The sequence below is a fragment of the Homo sapiens genome, chromosome 3, assembly GCF_000001405.40.
Source record: "Homo sapiens chromosome 3, GRCh38.p14 Primary Assembly".
In the NCBI taxonomy this organism is placed as follows: Eukaryota; Metazoa; Chordata; class Mammalia; order Primates; family Hominidae; genus Homo; species Homo sapiens.
Genome location: NC_000003.12, coordinates 141,249,819 through 141,269,501, shown reverse-complemented (window position 1 = coordinate 141,269,501; position 19,683 = coordinate 141,249,819). Strand labels below are relative to the sequence as shown.

General features: G+C 45.9%; 1 protein-coding gene and 1 pseudogene across 28 annotated transcripts in view, besides 1 other annotated feature; both read right to left on the bottom strand.

Moving 5' to 3' along the window:
- PXYLP1 (2-phosphoxylose phosphatase 1) overlaps nt 1–19,683 on the bottom strand; it is a 63,100-nt gene that overhangs the window by 25,423 nt on the left and 17,994 nt on the right. For 24 of the 28 annotated variants that reach the window (XM_047449228.1, XM_047449230.1, XM_047449223.1 and 21 more), the window contains one exon: nt 9,248–9,379. In XM_047449228.1, coding sequence (XP_047305184.1) covers nt 9,248–9,326 — 79 coding nt within the window. In that variant the 5' untranslated portion in view covers nt 9,327–9,379. Of the gene's footprint in view, nt 1–6,778; nt 6,845–7,161; nt 7,260–7,452; nt 7,637–9,247; nt 9,380–19,683 lie in introns of those variants that run through there. The other 4 variants (XM_024453830.2, XM_047449231.1, NM_001282728.2 and 1 more) reach the window with 3 other exon arrangements.
- Nucleotides 8,962–9,706: an enhancer, noted in NCBI's record as "H3K4me1 hESC enhancer chr3:140978638-140979382 (GRCh37/hg19 assembly coordinates)". NCBI's record gives its function as "activates a minimal SCP1, AML or CMV promoter by ChIP-STARR-seq in naive H9 embryonic stem cells {active_cell/tissue: H9 hESC(naive)}" and the evidence as "EXISTENCE:reporter gene assay evidence [ECO:0000049][PMID:30033119]".
- Nucleotides 10,723–11,084, bottom strand: RPL31P21 (ribosomal protein L31 pseudogene 21; annotated as a pseudogene).

Sequence of the window (19,683 nt, the reverse complement as noted above, 5' to 3'; positions counted from 1 at the left end):
CAGATTTTCTTTTTTCAAAATAAAAAGGGGTCATAAAAAACATGAGTTCATCATAAAATAGTCATTCAACACTAAAGTATAAAAAGAAAAGGAAAATCACCCATAAATCCTACCACCCAGAGAACCCCATAAGGAATATTTTAGTATTTGAGTATATATGTGCCCTGCCAGAGGCTAAACATGTGCTTCTGTCCCTGCTCCGGTGGGAATGGTGACGGATGGTCACTCAGGCCCAAGGACATTGTTCTCTCTCCCCAAGAGGAGCAAATAAGTTTCCTGTGTCTCAAAGGTCTGCAACCCACTGAGGCCACCAAACCAGCAACCTGTCCTTGAGGGTGGGTGGGTTGTCTGCCTTCTGTGTAAAGGCTCAAAAGACATAGCCAGACAGGCGAGGGGCTTTGGGGAGGCCACCTCAAGGAAAGAGAGAATGTGGCCCAGGGTGGGGCCTGCACTCTCAGGCATGTGGACATCCCACAAGAGCTGCCCCACCCTCTGGTAGATACCTAGGGGTGGTGTGGACGGGCAGACCCCTGGCCAGTGGAGTCCAGCCCCTCGGATGACACAGGGAAAAGAGAAAGGCAAAGAGAGGCAAGATGTGATGCTGAAGCTCCAGCCAGATAAATCCTAGAGAGGGGCCATGCATCCCAGCCACCTCCCCATTCTTTCCCACCTGAGCCCACCCCTGAGCTACGGCTCTGAGGCACAGGGTAACATCTGTAGTGTGTGTGACAGCCGCACTGGCAGGAGGGCAGGATGGTAGTGAGGGCAGGATGGTGAGGCAGTCCCAGAGCTCCCTCCCAGGTGCCCGCCCTACTTCACCCTCGTGTACAGGATTCAGATTCTGCCCTTGTCTCCTCTTTTAGATCAGCCTCTTCCTTCTCTCTTGTGAGGTGGGGCTGCTGGTACATAACAGGGCTCTGCCTCTGATCAGCACTCACTTCATTTCAAGGTGGGCTTCCTCCTTTTAATGTCATCAGCATGGGGCCAAAGCCCTGTTGCCAAGACAACAGGGAGTGAGCGGGGTCTGCACTGCGTGGCTTGGCTCAGCAGGCGCACACTCTGCCTGCCAGACTCCAGCTGGCCTCGCGCTCTCCCTGCAGTGGGTACAGCCACATAAATCCTGTGGCTTTCTATTCTGTTCATCTCTTCAGTGGATCTTAGAGATCTCCAGGCACTTTCCTGAATTCACTGAATACTTCTACTAATGCTTTCTATTTTTACTAACTAGCCGTGATAGTATTTGCTCTTGCTGACTCAAGACACACACACACACACACACACACACACACACACACTCTCTCTCTCTCTCTCTCTCTCTCTCTCTCTCTCTCTCCCCCACCCACCCGCATATAAAGGTACCATTTTAAAATTTAATATATTATGCACAACCTTCCAAGTCAATAGAGACAGGTCTATGTGATCATGAGGTAATGGGGTATTTACTGTTGTACACGTTGGTTGCCTTCTCCTTTGTTTCCTATTACAAATGATGCTGCAGTAAACATCTTTAAACAGATATCTCTATCCCCTCATCTAATTATTGATGAGAACTTCTTTAAGATAAGGAACTAAGAAGAAAAAAGGGAAGAAGAGAGAAAGGGAAGGTGGGAGAGAGGGAGAGAGGGAGAGAGACAGAGAGGGACAGAGGGAGGGAGGGAGACAGAGAGGGAGGGAGGGAGGTCATTATCTAGCTCCACCCTGAAAGAAAACTAGGAATGACCCACAGACATAAATGTGTCCATTCTCAGCTTGCAGAAGAACCTGCTACATGACACTCTCACCTTCCCACTCCAATGCATCTACAACATGAGCTTAAGAAATTGTGACAACAGCTTATTTGTCAGATTTAATTTTGTCACTCATCTATGGTGTTTTTTTTTTTTTCACCTGCAGATATTTAACTCTATGTGGCAACTGGACATAAAGCATTCTGAGGAAAAGCAAATTAAAACTCCCAGAAATCAAACAGAAAGTAAAATCTTTAAGAAAAGGACCAAAATTAACAAAAAATACAGAATTTAAAACTTTGGTCACAATGAAGAGATGGCGATATGACAGAACTCTTAGGTTAACAATGTAAACCTTCACTTTCAATTTCTCATACTTTTTGTCTCCAGCTGAACAAAATAAAAGCTCAGGAGGAAGCGCATTGGGGCTTTTAGAATAGAGGACGCAGTACGTTAGACCCTGTGCATTCTAAGGGCTTGCATCCCCAAATCTTTTCCATGAAGCATACTGAGATCTTCACGCATCCCCACATTCAAACATACCACTCTGTACTTTTCTCCACTGAACGTACACAGGACAAAGAACAGAGGACGACCACCTCCCCTGGCTGTGTGGCAGGACGTGGCTCCCTCAGCAGCTGAGCAGCTCACTTCCTGCTACTTTCATCAAGACGTGTGCCTCGGCAGAATCACTATCACCATATACTACAGATCTCAGGGGTCCCTGCAAAGAGTCGAAACCACAAATGCTAATGGCCATCTACAAGAGTGAGCAGGACTGAGGACACAAGGGTCTGAACCACCGAGGAAGGTGTCACAGCACCCTGGCACCTGTCAGGGCTCCTTGCTTGCCTACTCAGAGGCAGTTCTATGTTAATGTACACACTGTTCTATCAAGCATTGTTATTTTCTTTCTTAGCGGATATCAGACTGAAAGCAGCACAGAAAAAGGGAGGGGATATAGGGGATCAGGGCCACAGGAAACACGATAGCTCTGCAGGTAGAAGAGTTCCCAGGGAAACTATCGAAAACACATGCACACTCTTTCCCTCTCTCCCCCCGCCGTCTCTCCCTCTCTCCCCCTCATCTCTCCCTCTCTCCCCCCATCTCTCTCTCTCCCTCTCTCCCTCTGTCTCTCCCTCTCTCACACACACAGAGCTGGCTAAGTGGGGCCTCCTCAGCTCCCCACCTGAGAACTTCTAAGCAGGTTGCCCCCTTGGCTTCTAGACCACTCCTGTCCACAGTCCACCCCCTGGCTGCTGCTGTTCTGTCTCCTTCGTGGCCCCTTGTCCTCTATCTGCCCAGATTTTCTTTTGGCTCTCTCTTCCATCTGCACCGCAGGGCACAAATTCAGAAGCTGACAGGGACTAGGCAGGTGGGCGCTGTGGCGACCAAGACAGCACTCTCCCCACCCAGGGTGGCAGCCCCGACTCAGCTGCCCGGCTCCTGCCAGCGGTCCCCGTAATGCTCCGTGGGCCTCAGGTTGCTGCAGAGTCTGGTTTTTCAAAGAGGAGCTGGAAGTTTACATGAAATTGCCTAGTTTTAAAACTTTGGTAAATAAATTAAAAAATCTAAAAACAGGGGTTGGGCCAAACAAAACAAGTTCACAGGCTGTTGGTCTGGAGCAGCTTCCACTGCTCCAAGGAGCCCTGGTCCTCCGGAAACCAGGGCTTCACCAGCAGGGAATACAAAGTCCCCAGATGGTGGCTTCTGACAGGGTCTCTCATAGGCCTCAGACCCTCAGGTCCACTCTTAGGCAGGACACTGCATCCACTGGGCCCGCTGGCTACCTCCAATGATGTCCATGCCCTTCAGTGACTCCTCCCAGCCTGGTCTCCTTCCTGCTCTGCCCCAGATTGTCCTGCTGCTTAGGCCCTGTCCCACTTCCCTTCCTGCTCTGAGCACTTTCCCGTGGCCTCTTTCTTCAGACCCAGGGAGCCACCAGCCCTGCATGGTTGACTTCCCAGTCTGTGTTCTGAGAATTTACTTCCACCTATGGCAGACTTATCCCAGATGGAGATGAGTCATTTACGTGAATGAATGCATGCATGAATGAAGTGTCTACTGAACTCCCCGAGCCAGACTCCTGGGTGCCATGGTAGAGTCCCCCCGATACCATCATCCTAGCCCCACGACACCACCCAATTAGCTAGAGTTCCACAGAACCACCATGACGTCTCTTGGCTTTGCTTCTTCCTTTCAGGGTCAATACCTTCATTGGGGCCACCCTCAGCTTGCTACTAGATGAGCAAAACAGCCTCTGAGGTGCCTCCCAGCATCACCCTTTCACAAGCCTCTGGATTGGCAGTTCTTAGATTTTGTGTGCATTAGACTCACCCAGGGAGTTTGTTAAAGATGCAGATTTCTGGGTTCCACTACCACCAAGATTCTGATTCTGTAAGGAAGGGCACAAAATGTGCTTTTTTTTTTTTTTTGGTTTTGGAACATGCATTTTGACAAGCTTCCCAGGTTATTCTGATGAAGGTGCTTTGGAAAACACTGTGCTGGACTGTAGTCTTTCCAAGACACAAATCTGATGGTGTCTTCCTCGCTTCAGTGGCTCCTCACAGCCTCAGGAATAGTGTAGTGATAGGAGGTAGGTCCCAGACTTTGTTCCAACTTCACAACTACCTACAGGTGACTCACCTGGGCCTGCTCTCTCTCACTCTGCCTTTGCACATTTGGCCAGGAGCACCTGTACTCAGCTGCCTCCTTGACCACTCCTGCTTTCTTTAAAGGATGAACTCAGATGCCACCTCTTTTAGGGGGTCTTCCCCAACTCCAAGCTGGATTGGGTTCCTGTACTCTAGTCTCTCATACTACTCTTCCATAAATGATCTCTAATTCATTTGTTTAACAAACACATACGTAGTGATTACTATGTGCCAGGTACTGTTCTGGGTGTTTTATAAATATTAGTTTGCTGAATCCTTTGCCAACCCTATGAAATACGAACTATCATTGTCCCCATTTTACAGATGGGGAAACCAAGGCACAGAGAGGGTAAAGAAGTTGCCTGAGGTCACATAGCTGGTAAGTGGCAGGACAAGGATTTGATCCAGGCAGTCTGACTCCAGAGCCCACGTTCTTTCTGACCCCACTGTGCTGCTGCCTCTTACCTGTCCCAGCACACAGCACCTGGTATTCCAGGGTGTCGGCTTGTGATTCTTCTCCACTGGACAAAGAGCTCCCTGGGGCCCATGAGGGATTAAACTCTCAGCCCGGGGCCTAACACACAGTGGAAACTAAAGAACATTTGCTAAAGAACAAAGTGTCACATACTCATGGCACTGGATCAATGAGAAAAGATAAAATTCATAAAACCTAGAGTTTAAAGAGACTTTAAATGGGATCAGACTCAATGACCTGTCCAATACTTTACTCTTCAAAGAGCAGCCCTCCAGAGTTTGCAGACTCCAGTGACGGAGAACACACCATCCATTCCACCTCTGCATGGCACTGACTTTTAGGAAGTTCTACCATATGCTTAACTGAAATGTGTCTCCATGTTCACCTCCTCTTGCAGAAAGGGCCCTTCAGATATTGACAGCAACCCTCACTCTCATTTTTGCAGGTTAGCCCTCCTCTTTTCCTCTTTTCCCACTGGGAATCTGAATCTCCAGTTCACCTTCAGCATTTCCTTCGACTCTGCTCTGGCCAATCGGGGCCCTGACCAAGAGGGAAACCCCAGATATGGGTGCCATGTGCTCAGTATAAATTAACCCCATCATGGCCAACGCACTCTGATTAAAAACAAATGCATGCGTGATCTATTTCAAAAGCTTTCCCCACCAAGTGGCTGAAGTAACATAAACTCTGGCAACTTCTGGAACACCAGGAGCCCTGGTTTCTGATGATGGTGCACTATGACGGAACTCTGCGCTGGTTTGCTTAAAAGGTTTATGTTGGCTATGCTTCCATGAGCCAAGGGTTTTCCCGTATCTCCGTTCTCACAGCAACCTTGCAAAACAGCAATAATTAACTCTATTTTACAGAAGAAGGAATAGGACACACAGCCACTTAGCAGGGAAGCTGACATTCAAATTATGATTCTAGAGCCTGCGTGCTCCTGTCACAACACCATTTTGGGAATGGTGGTCAGAACATGGAGAAATGAGCATAAAATCAGCATTAAGAAAATGCAAGGGCCAAGGAGGGAAGTGAATGATTACAAATGAGCACAAAAAGTGGAAACATAACTCATGATTCCTAAGTCTTCACATCCTGACAGTCTTTCCTTGCTGCACTAAAGGAGTCCTTTAATTTGAAGTTATTTTTCCACTTGTATGTATTTTAACTACAATAACCAAAAATATCTATGCCTTGCCTGTTCCCTTCTACAATTCAAACATCAGGAATTTCAGAATGTTTCACCTTCCAAACACAAAACATTAAAGACTTGAAAACATAGACTTATTTTTATTAAAGACAATTAGCATATAGCAAGTCATTAGCACCATTTAAGATGAACATATTTTGAGAAACTGTGAACAGTATCTTAATCTTTTCTGTATTTCCTTACTACCTCCACTTCCACAGTGTAGAAAAACGTCAAACACACATAAGCACTTAATAAATATATGTAGGTTCACTACATACTTTCTGTATCCAGAGGAAGACATACTTATTTAAGCAATCTGATTTTTGAATCGTAACCTGGGCTATTTCTTCTTCACATTCAAAACATCAGGAAAAGAAAACTACCAATAAGACCAAATAAGATATACGATCATTTCAGATAACAAAGCTATATTCTTTACTTAAAGCATGAGAAAACCGAGTTATACTTAGTTGCCTCAAATATGTTACTTAAAGTAATTATATATGCTAATTTGGTATTCAAAAATAAGTAAAAAGAAATGGTAAAGAAAAAAGTCCATATATTTTAGGATAAGAATGAGAACATAAGTGGTATATAAGCGAAACCTGTGCGTTATGAATTAGTGCTGTTTCTTACAGTATAATAATAAGCAACCAATAAAGCAATTAAATAAATGGAGCAATTAAACTCACTTCTACAGAAATGGGGAAATTCCAAAGTTACAGTTTACCTAAAAGAAGAGCAGTAAGAACGTCCATATCTTAATATCTTTCCGATCTCCAACGTATCCAAGAATAAAGAGCTCAGACCCAGACAGGCTAATTTACCCTGCAAAATTTTCCTTAAAAAAGTATGGCTGAAAATTGGCTTTCCTAAAACAGAAGGTACTTTCAGAAGAGTTATATAAGCAAAACACACAGGCCAATTCAGTGACGTGGAAACCAGCTCATGCAAGAGAAATGCCACAAACACAAGTAACACACATTCATGTCTCAGAACCTGTCAGCCTCTCAAAATAAAATCAGGGTTGACTGTAACATCCTACCTCTCCAACCAAAGGATGGAAAATTTTTAATGAAAATTTATAAACAATTAAACTACTGAATATCTTACCACACTTTTTGGAAAGGATTCAGATTTTACAATTCATTTGCCATCTGGAATATTTTTAAACTTCTGATGCCCACCTTCTTTTGACCTCTTTTCCAATTCTGGAAGGATAAAACGAGTATTTTAAATTCTTTTTACTATTAGAAATAGGCTGTCATATGCATGTACATGGAAATATGTCACAATTGGAAGTGAATCAGAGAAACTTCCTCAAAGTCTCCTCTCTTGAAACCACCTCCTCCTAGAGCCAAGCCTTCCCCATGTTCCTCTGTGTACTCATAACATCCCACTTACCGAGCCACCTGCCCTTCTTTCCATCATTCAAACTGCAACAGAAATGCCCCTCCTCACACAGCTGTCCTGGGTGGTGTGGGTGCCAACTGCTTGTCTCCCACCCATCAGGATGAGGTGGTTAAACGGAGAGAAGGCAGGTGACAGCAACAACACAATTCCTGGCATCACACAGATGTTTTCTCAGCTTCAAATACACAGCAACAGAAGGAAAGAAAATAAGGTTCCATCTGCTTTTTAGAGCAGGCATGGATTCATGCATTCAGCAGACATTTACAAAATATTACTACGTGCTAGGCAGTGCTGGTTCCTGGGATACAGAGAGAAACAGGATGTGGTCCTGCTCTCAACGAGCAGACAATCTGGTAGAAGGAAAAGACACAAGAACTGAAAATTATACTAGTGCATGGTTAGTGAAAGGAGGGGGCCGGGCGTGGTGGCTCACGCCTGTAATACCAGAACTTAGGGAGGCTGATGTTCTTACTGCTCTTCTTCTTCTAGGTAAACTGTGACTTTGGAATTTCCCCATTTCTGTAGAAATGGAGTTTAATTGCTCCATTTATTTAATTGCTTTATTGGTTGCTTATTATTGTGCTGAAAAAAATGGCACTAATCCATAATGCACAGGTTTATGCTTATGTAACACCTATGTTCTCACTTGAGGTCAGGAGTTTGAGACCAGTCTGGGCAACATGGTGAAACCCTGCCCTGTCGCTATAAAAATACAAAAAATTAGCTAGGTGTGGTGGTGCACGCCTCCAGTCCTAGCTATCCAGGAAGCTGAGGTGGGAAGATTACCTAAACTCCTAAACTCGGATGTTGAGTCTGCAATGAGCTGTGATCGTGCTACTGCACTCCAGCCTGGGCAACAGACTAAGACCCTATTTCAAGAAAAAAACGGGGGAAGGAAGGAAGGGAAGGAGGGAGGGAGACAGGTTCAAGGATTCAGGGCATCCTGATGTATATAAAAGAAGCACCAAACCCTTAAGTATTCCTGGAAGGGTCCTAGAGGAGAAGGGGCAAGGGCTGAAAGGGAAACAATGAGAGGGGGTGAGGAGGAGAACGCTCTTGGCAAAGGAGCACCAGGATCTGAGCACAGAAGCAGCAGAGAGGGGCCACAGGAGGGCAAGGGGCCTCTCAGAAGACCATGGGCCACCACTGAGGTGTTGCCACTAAGGAGGTCCTGGGGCCAGATCTGTGTCTGAGAACAGCCACTCTTAGGTGAGCTGTAGTGTGCACAGATTTGGGGCCTGGCCTGAGCCTAGGAATCTCAGTGGAGGATGCTGCATGGTGAGGCCCATGGCCTGGCTTTATCAGAGTCCTCCTGTCTCGTCACAGGGGATTTCCCATGCAGCCCCTGCTGCCTGGGGGGTGGGTTTGATACTGGTGACCTAATCTCCCCACCCTCCCCGAAACAACTCCAGCCCCGCGGCTGACTGAAGGCTAAACAGACACCCAACTTGCAAGGACCCAATCAAAGGGCTAAACACCTCTGCTCTGTGTGGTTCAGCATAAGAAGTCAAGCAGGGCCACTCAGTGTCTCCATCTGGTGAATCTGAACAAAAAATCTGGGAATAACCAGGCAGTTCAGGAATTCATGCAAAAGTCAAAAGAGCACACAGAACACTGCTCGGTGGTTTAGGATCCCTCCTTGCAACCGGCCACTGTGAGTGCCAACAATAAAAAGACTTCGTTGTCTTCAGCCTCATCATTCATTTATAAAACAAGCCTTTGGGGCCTCCTTGTTTCCTATGAAGCCCCTACCCTCCCACGACCTGCGGGGCCCGGCTCTACTCACAGAACTGCAGGCTGAGGCTCACAAAGGCCAGCAGCGCAGCCAGGGCCAGCAGCAGCAAGAAGCGGTTGCGGAAAAGCATTATTAAGTATTCTATTTTCTCTTCATGGTTTCACCTCAAATCGGGAACATGTCCTGTGAATAAAGCAGAGGTGATAAATGAGTGTTTAGAGGTGGAGAACTAAATTTGTCAACTGAAAATAACCAAACTTGTCAACTGATAATAATCTGATTAGCCCAGTCCCCCGGCAGGGAAGCATGCATCTCTAGCTGGAGAACAACAGCATGCTCTATGATTAGTCTTTGCCCCCAAATAAGCCCAAGCGAGAATGCTCCCTTCAAGTTAGTAAGCAAAAACTAGTTCCTGAATGCCTTATCTGACATCAACAAGGAATGAGATATTTTACAGACATGACCTTCCCAAGGAAAAACGCAAAGGATGTTTATTGGGTATTTACAATGTGCTGGACAATAAGGGAAATCTTCACACGGACTCATCTTGCTGTGACCTTTAACCTTTAAATCTTCAAGGTTTTTTGGTGGACATTCTGCTGAAATGATCTTGGTATTCTTTAATTGTAATTGTTAATCTGAACAACAATCATCACAACATGTCCCCCAATGCCTTGGGGGATGGTCTGGGTGTGCAAAAGGATTTGCTCCTACACCGACTAGCTCCATCTGCTAATTGAGACCTCCCTTCATCCTGGACCACTAAGCCTGTTTCAGCTGTATCCATGGGTCTTCTGGAAGCCTCGTCCTGCCTATTCAAAATTCCCCTAACCACATTGGAAGTGTGCAAGAGGACTTTTTAAAAAAGCTGAATAAGGTCCTAAATGTCCCTTCTGTGGGAAAAAAAAAAAAAATGAATGACTACTATAACTTCTACCCTATCAGTTTTAGAAGTCAAGTTTATTTCCTGGTTCTCTTTGGGATTTTAAAGAGAACTTGCAAACCATAGTCTCTTTAGAAAAGGTTCTTAAACTACAGTTAGATTGTAACGGTAATTTCAAACTTGAATCTTTTCCCCATTCAAATATAATCTTCTTCAGAGATCAGACAGACAAAATCAGATAAAAGCTCATCTGCTAATGTGTGAGGGCTGTGTAACTGTGAATATAACTGAATATAGCCATTGAGCTGTACACCTGGGGTGAATCCTATCTCAATAAGCTGTACTACGAAAAGCACATCTTTTGGGAATGAAGCAGGAGCCAGACTCCCAGAGCCCCTTGCCTACCACCTCCTCCCCAAGGGCCCAGTAGGTGACTTTGAAAACCCACTTGTTTAAGCGACCTGTCAGACTTTCTACCAAAAGAGAACATTTGCTAACAGATTGATGAAAACACACTTGCACCTTACGATTGCGCCTGTGTGTCCAGCAACCAGCATCTCTGTTAACAAACAGATCCCAATTTCATTTTATTTATTGATTTTGTGGTTTTGTAACTCTATTTGGCATATGTGACAATCAGCAGTTAGTTCTCATCCACATTGACCAGATTTTTGAATGTGGTAACAGGTACATAGGTAACCAAATATAGAGCTTGTTTGTTGAAACTTCATCCTCATTACGTTTCCTGGATAGCCGCGCATGACGGTATGGGACGTGCCTTAGTCCTCTGGCCCAGACAGCTTTGTTGAACCTGGTATGAATGTGCACATCTGAAGTCCCCCTCTCCTTCAATCTCTCTGAGTGCTGGAGAGGCACACTTCTTGAAGCCCTTTCTTGAATATGCTTCTTGAATGTGCTTGTGAATATTGATGGTGTATTTTCAGGTCACCATCTTGTTAATGGCGGAATGGCCCTTCTTCTTGCCACCCTTCTTGTGGGAGCCATTCTCCCATGCCCAAGATGGAAAGGAAGAGCTTGAGGGAAACGCTTCTGTCCCATGAGTCACTATCCCTAACCGAGAGTCAGTGCCTCCGTGCCCGAAGCTCAGTACTACACGTACACATGTTCTCCTGCACATCCCTCCCTCTGCAGCTCTGGTGCAAATCTTGTCTTCAGGCCTCTCACTCTGGGCCTGGGAAGCCACTGTGCTGGCCCTGGGGAATCATCCACCCCCGGTTTCTGATGCCACATGGTGTCTTTTGTGTCATCACCTCAGAGGCCGACCTGCCTGCTGGTTGCCCTGCGTTTGCATGTGGGAGGCGAGGGCCTTGTTTCTGCTGCTGGGTCATGTCTTGTCCCTCAACTACTTCCTGCTTCCATGCTCTTAAGGGATTTCCCTCTCCCTGACTTGTGGGAGAGGCCAGTAGGACAGCTAAGTATGTTTCCTATGGTCTTACTTGACACTGCATTTTCTTCTTTCTTTCTCTCTCTCTCTCTTTTTTTTTTTTTTTTTTTTTTGAGACAGAGTTTCGCTCTTGTAGCCCAGGCTGGAGTGCAGTGGTGCAATCTTGGATCACTGCAACCTCAGCCTCCTGGGTTCAAGTGATTCTCCTGCTTCAGCCTCCTGAGTAGGTGGGATTACAGGTGGCTGCCACCACACACCCGACTAATTTTTGTACTTTTAGTAGAGACAGGGTTTCACCACATTGGCCAGGCTGGTCTCGAACTCCTGATCTCAGGTGATCTGCCTGCCAAAGTGCTGGGATTACAGGTGTGAGCCACTGTGCCCGGCTGACACTGCCTTTTCATAAGGGATTAGCCACAGTATGGTTTACAGTTGTCTTCAGGTGGGCATTTGGTGGAAACAGTGGCTACTTGCTATAAGTCTCAGTTTTATAGCATGGTAAATTGTCGCAGTAACAGCCCCCAATTTTTTCATGCTCTTTGTATCCATGGGCTTACCCGGTCTTTTCCTATATTGACTTTTGGCTTGGCCAAGGAACTTGTTTTGGCCATGGGACAATAGCAGATGTGTTACAAGCAGGGACTTGAAAAGTACTTATGCATTGGGGCTTGTCTTCCTTTACTACTTTTCCAACACTGAGACCACCATGTGAAGACCCTAGGCCAGACTGCTGGTGCATGAGAGACCACATGGAGCCAAGGTAAGCAGTCCCTGCTGAGGCTCCCTTGAAACAAACTGTGGTGACAGTTTGCTTGATACAAAGCAAAAGCTAACTGATACAATAAATGGGAAATGCCTTGAATCTTCACCAGGAAATTCTAAGCCAGGATCTAGATCTCAATATCCTCATCTGTAGGCACGACATGAAAATCTCCATCTTGTCTACGTTCTTTAATATGCGGAGTGCTTTTTGGGAAAACAGCTATATTTAGTTTTAGATTTAAATACGTTAGGTTAACCAGATGGCTGGGATCGTGTAACTGCCTGACTGCTTCTAGTCTGCACTGCTGACATCTCTACCAATCTGTGACTTTTCATTTGCTGAACAGTGGGAACATCCACCGTTTCCCCTTGATACTCTCTGGGGTCTGCACCCTCCCACTTCTGGCTCTCCTCTGATAGCCTCTAGCATGGTCAGCATTTCCATTATTTCTACTTGTGCTAGGGAGTAGTCTGGTGTGATCACAGCCCTAGGGGTGTATGTACACAGCCTGGCCAGAGGAACACCGAATCCCAGGATGCCTTCTTTTGGAGCCCATTTCACTAGAAAACTTGAAGATAATGATCATACTTTAGTCTTGGTTTATTAAAATGGCTAAATGATGATAGAATCCAAAATTCACATGGATTTGAAGAAGTTTGCAGCTGAAGCTAGGACCCCAAGGAGTAGGGGTGTGTGTGTGTGCGCACACGCGCATACGTGTGTGTGTGTGTATGTATACGTGCACGTGCCTGTGTCCAACATGAGAAGTGGAGTGCGTAGTTCTGCTGCTGTGGGTGTTTCTTTGCTGGGGACACTTCAGTGGAAGAGACTGAAAGGAGCCCTAATGTGGTGTAAAGGACGAGGCTCCAAAGATAGGCAGATCTGTGTTCAATTCCTAGCTCTGCTGCTTATTTTCTGTGTGTCTTGACAACTGGCTCCACCTCTCTGAGCTGCAGGATCCTGCTTTTTAAATAAGACTGAGGATAAGAGACAAAAGAGCAGGTGGCGGTGGGGAGCAAATCTCACAACAGGCAGAGCCCTGCGGTCGAGCAGATATGTACTATGTCTGACTTCCACACTCCGGAAGAATCACACAGACACCTATACCACAATCTAAACACAAGGAGTCGCCCTTTTCCTTGAACTATTGCTTCTGCTCCATGCTGTGGCTCTGCTTTCAAATCCTGGCCACTGGCCCCTCCCCTACTCACTGGCCCCATCCCATCCATCAGGGTAGGCAGCCACGTCTGCAACCATGTTCATGGCTCCTCTGCCACCATGAGCCTTCCTGGGGGCTGACTCAGCTGTTGTGTCCCTGCCTTGCCCTAGGTTTTCCAGCCTGGAACATCTGCCTCAGCTTCTGTTGGGCCCCACTCCAAGAGGATGAGGTACCAGCCAACTGGCTCTTTCTGGCACTGTGGTTCAATCTCCAGCCTGAGTTTTCCAGAGCTCCCTTTCCCCCTTTCCATCTCCAGGTAGGTAGGAGGCTCCTACAGCCACTCAAGAAGTCACACAGTCCTTGGTTCCCTTCCTGCCATCTTCCTGCACTTCTTTCCATAGGAGCTCTGCGCCTACCCCTGGGGTCTATAGCAGCTCCTCAAGACATCTGGTGAGACTCATACAAGCTATGCCAGGCGACAGCCAGGATTCTGAGCCCAGAGCGGGACCCCCACAGCCTGCTTGCTCACAGTCCTAAAAATAAGATCCACAGGAAGAGTCCCTGCTTCACCGGCAGGGTGAGGTGCTATGGGATTACAGCTCCCACATCTTCTAATCCCCAAACATCTCTCAAGTCCCATCACCTTCTGTGGAAAAGATGCTCTTGGCTCAACATGGCATCATGACCAAATCCAATTCCCACAAATACTTCTGTGTAAACAACTGTTATATGTCCAGGCTGAACATAAAATAGTTGTCAGTCATCACATGTCTGTTGGGCACAGCTGCAGTCCCCTGTGCTAAACCCACGTGGTACAAATATCTGAAACCTAGAAATTGAATTATTACTCTGAATTCCTGATGAAACAGCAAAAACAAAACAAAAAACAGAAAACCCAGCTAACTCAATTCAACCTTATTACAAGTCTGAGCTGTGAAAGAAAAGATTTTAGAATACAATTTTGAAACATAGTACTAGTTAATAAGCAGTTCCCATTACATTATGAAGAATACCATTTCTGAATTAAAAGGAGAAAAAGAACACGTCAAAGGCATTTTTACAAGCTACCGTTCTACCACCAGAGAGTTCCAGGGCCCAAGCCTTGGCCTATTTTTCACCTTGTAAGAGCTGAAAACACCACATCTAGTGACAAACTCTGGTCCAGGCTGTCCTTCAAAGTGTACAGAATTTAGGGTTTTAAACATGACCACAACTGCTAGAAAGAAAATGTACAATTACCTTTCATTTGTGCAGTTAAAATACCATTACCAAGAATAGAAAGGTAGTATTAAAGAAAATGCTTCAGATGTATTCTACACGTTGATTTTTTTGGTCAGAATTATTTTGGCCTAAGTAAATACAGCATTACAATTAAAAAAAAAAACCCTTCAAGTCTGCAATTGTGAACAAAATATGAGTCAAGCAAAGGTAAAAGCTATATCTTAATAGTTCCCCTTTTCCAAAGTCACGTCAAAGTGGAGTTTAATTGCCAAATCAAAGATGCTTGCCCAAGAAAAACCAACCTTGAAGTCTGATGAAGATGCGCAGATTCCAGAGCCTCCTGGAAACCCCAGGAAGGCACCTGGGATGAAGGGGCTGTGAGTTCACAGCAGTTATTCACATTCCAGAGTTCTCCACTTAATTTGCAGGCTCATTTCTAAAAGCTGAAGCCAGTTCACGCACTCATTCATTCAGTCAGTCAATTCAAAATAACATTTCCTGAGAGCCAGTAAGTGCCAGGCACTATTCTAAGTGGTAAGAACACAGGACACAGGATACAGGACACAGTTTTTGTCATATGGAAGGTCCCAGCTGAAAGGCACTAAAGTATTTATGGGAGAAACGATACAAGACCTAGGACTAGCTTTAAAATATTCCAGAGGGGCCGGGCGTGGTAGCTCACGCCTGTAATCCCAGTACTTTGGGAGGCCGTGGCGGGCAGATCACTTGAGGACAGGAGTTCAAGACCAGCCTGGCCAACACAGCGAAACCACATCTTTACTAAAAATACAAAAAATTAGTCGGGCATAGTGGTATACACTTGTAATCCCAGATATTCAAGAGGCTGAGGCATGAGAATCGCTTGAGCCCCGGAGGTGGAGGCTGCAGTGAGCTGAGATTGCGCCACTGCGTTCCAGCCTGGGTGACAAAGAGAAACTTCATCTCAAAAAATAAAAATTATATATATATTCATAATTTATATATTATATATAATATACATATCTAATATATATTAGATATATATATATTCCAGAGGAGATAAAAAGGTTGAGGGGAATAGATGAAATAAGATTGGCAAAATGGTGACAATAGTTGAAGCAGGGTGACAGATCCTTGAGGGTTCATTATCTGCTCCTCTCTGCTTCTGTGTATGTCAGAAGTTAAAGGTGTTTTTTTTTTTTTAGAAAAGTTTCAAGAAGTTTTTTTAAAAACAGAAGTGTAGAGTCTGGCGAGGGAAGTAGGGAGTAAACAGATCACTAGGCTCTATCAAACCAGTGCTGTCAGGAGGAAAGAAGACTGCATCCAGGCTAGGATACGGCAGATTGGATTTCTGAAGTGGCAATGCCAGAACTCCATCTTGAAGAGCAGATTGGTGTTGGTGCATCTGTGACTGAATTTTAGGAAAACAGAATGAACTCAAGGGATGGTGTTAAAGGTGGTGGGGAGGTATTGGGTTGTGAAAGGAGCCAGAGAGGGGGATGATACATCCAACACTGATACATGCAGGGAAGTGTTGTGCCTAGGGAAAGCCAGCTGCCCAGAGGCCACACAGGCGGAGCTGGGGTGCCCCTGCCATGTCTGGGTCTGCTTCTCCAAGGGATGGGCTTGCCTGGCCCAGCACCCACAGCCCTCTACCCAGGCCAGCTTCCCCACTGACCTCAAGGTGTCCTACCATCAGTGGGACCAGAAAACACACTCACTGATTCTCACTCCTTCCCTGGAGTGCCCTCTGGGCACTAAGCTGACTGAGCTGCAGGATGGAGCGGGAAGAGGGGTCTGATTGCAGGATCCACACCACCAGGCAGGCCAGCTTGAAAGACAGGCCCACTTCATGAACCTACCCTTATTTTCTAGGGCCAGGGTCCTATCTCCTCCCAACACCTGGCCTCCTTGGGGAATACTGGACAGGAACAGGCCCAGAGGCCTCCCTGCCCCTCTCAGCAGGGGCAACATATTGAAGGATATCTAATAGTCATGAGGCGTGGCTCCCCTGGAACATTTTGCACTTTGCCGCACCACAGACCCTCTCTCACCTGGGGGTCTCCTCCTGAAAAACAGCCTGTCTTCTACCCTAGGGTGGTGAGGGGTGATTTGACCTGCGTCACTGTCATGCCCAGATGTGATATAGAGTGGTAACACCCGCCTCTTGGCTGTGGGGAAGCCAGTGGGGAGCTGAGGTGGTGCTATGGTTTGGATATGTGTCCCCTCCAAATCTCATGTTGACATGTAATCCCCAGTGTAGGTGGGGCCTAGTGGGAGGTGTTTGGGTCATGGCAGTGGTTCCCGCATGAATGGTTTGGTGCCGTCCTCTTGCTGGTGAGTGAGCTCTAGCTCTGTTAGTTGACGTGAGAGCTGGTTATAAGGAGCCTGGGACCTCCTCTTTCTCTCTCTTGCTCCCGCTCTCACCGTGTGATACGCTGGCTCCCCCTTTGCCTTCCACCATGATTGTAAGCTTCCTGAGGCCTCAGCAGAAGCAGATGTTGGCACTACGCTTCTTACAGACTGCATAACCATGAACTAAATACATTTCTTTTCTTTATGAGTTACCCAGTCTTGGGTATTCCTTTACAACACAAAATGGACTAACACAGGGGGTGTGCTGATCAGTGCTGCAGATTGATCCTGAAGCAGGCCCTGAATAAAGGGCAGCACCAAACTCAATGTTCTTTGCCCTGCTTTAAGGACCTGTTATGATCTGGCCACACCCCACAAATCCCACCTCATTTCCCAGTCATACCCACAATAGGCTGTTAAATGCATGGGCCTGGGGTCAGCTGGCTAGGTCTAGAGCCCTGCTCTACGTGATAATGAGCCACAGTTTCCTCATCTATGAAGTGAGAACAATCTCTGAGCCCATTTCATAGGTTGTATAGGGAGGGAGTCGTGGGGTTAAGATATGTAAGGAACATGGTACAGTACCTAGCCTCTGATACGCTCTCAGTAAGTATTAGCAGTGATTTTGCTGATGGTTTTAATACCCACCAGCCACAAGTGAGCTACTTACCCTACTTCTCCCTTGTCTTTGTTCCCTCTCCCCAACTCTAGAAATAGAATCTCCACTAGACCATGCCAGAGAAAGTCAGAGTTTGAAGAGGTTTTAAATATCATTTGGTTCAAACCCCTTCATTTACCTGAAGAGAGGCCAGGGCAGGTCCGAGGGGCAAAAGGCTCCAAGCTGCTCAGGGAGGCTGGCCTGCATGGCTGAAACCCTTGCTTCACATTCAGAGTGGTACCCAGCAATCTGTCCTTGTCACGTTCTTCTTCACTGTAGCAGACATACTATGTGGCAGATGCTTCTAACTGCCCCAAGTGTCTATTCCTTCCTTCCTCTTATGAACAGAACCCTCTGGATTTTAGCTGGATACATGACCATCCAGCTAGAGAGAATATTTCCTAAACTCCCTTGCAACTGTTGTAGAGATGTGGTCAAGTTCTTCCAATGAGTCGTGATTGGACGTAATATGGCCATTCCAGATCAAAAGGAAGCTGCCTGCCCCAGACCATCCTGACGTTTTTCTTCTCCTATTCCAGGCTCTGAAACACTGGCATGATGAGGAGCAACTTTCACCATGCAGATGGAAGCAACATCCTAGTGGATGACAGAGAAGGACCCTAGATAACCCCAAGGGGCAAGGCCACCCATTCCTTGATTGCCTTCCAGCTCAAATCATTTTGGGTGAGAGAAATTAATCTCACAGCATTTTAATCCATTGTTATTTCACTTCTGTTTAAGCAGACAAACCAATTTCCGATCTAGAACTTGCTGTTAGCAGAACGCTGGTACTCTTCATGGGGCTCCCTTCTGGAGGTGTAATGAGTAAGTGCACAGGCGTTCATGAGCTGCATTAGGCAGAAAACCTCGTCACTGACCAGGCTGAATACCACTCTTAGATATGATATGAGACACTGTTGTGGTCACCTTTGTTCTTTTTGCACTTTAGTTTTTGTTTTATCTTAAATAATTCATGTATCTATAAAGATGGCTTGGCTGCAGGTAACAGAAAACCCTAGCAAGCAAAGAGACTCATCCACATTCTCACATGACAAACCATAGTATTAGGACAGCAGCTCCAAGGCTAGTTGATTCAGCAACTCCAAGCATCAATGGGAAGCCAAGAGCTTTCCATGTCTGTCCTCTTACTAGGCTGGCTTCTCTCAGGGTCGCAAGCTGGCAGCCACACTGCCAGGCATCACAGCCATACTCAGCCATGGGCAAAGGCAGAAGGGATAACTCTGTTCATCTCTACTGGAAGCAAAGAAGCCTTCTCCAGAAATCCCTCCCCCAGGCTGCCCATCGCATCTCACTGGCTGAAGTGTGTCATGTGCCCACACTCAAACCAATCACTGACACTGGGAATGGATACAACGACTGGGTGGAACCAATCAGGATGCACCTCCTGGCAGACGCCCACGCAGGGATAGAATGGGCAGAGACCTGAATAGAGTCAGGGCTCTGTTAGGAGTAAGTGAGCAAGGGGATGTTTGTGACAACTCACAACTGGAGAAGGTGTGACAACATGCACAATTATTCTAAAAAATTATTTTTAAACACAATCATCTGATGACAGTACCACAACTTTTCAGATCCAATAATCAAAACACATACAGTCATAATTATATGTTTAAAAACATCAGTGCTGGTTTGCTCAGGTGTAATTCAGCAGAGACAAACAGCAGAGCAGCCTCCTGCAGCCTACTGACTGTACGTCTTCCACTAACAGACCTTTTGTTTCATATTTTACATGTTTTTAAAATATGCAGCATTAATTATTTAGCTACCATTTCTTTCCTAAAAGGATTTGAGGCTGATAATCTGCAGATTTAGTATTTTTAAATCCCTGAAATAGTAAACTTTTTTTTTTCCTTTGTGAACTACATGTTCTAACCACTCTCTCCTTTGAGATTTTTTTTCCAACTCTACAAAGGATAAACTTGTCAAGGCATCTGATCATTTCTCAGGGCCAGAACAGACTAAAATAACTAACTCATCAAGCCAGGATTTTCACTTTTATGTACGCTTCAGTTATTATTATTATTATTTTTTGACATAGACAAG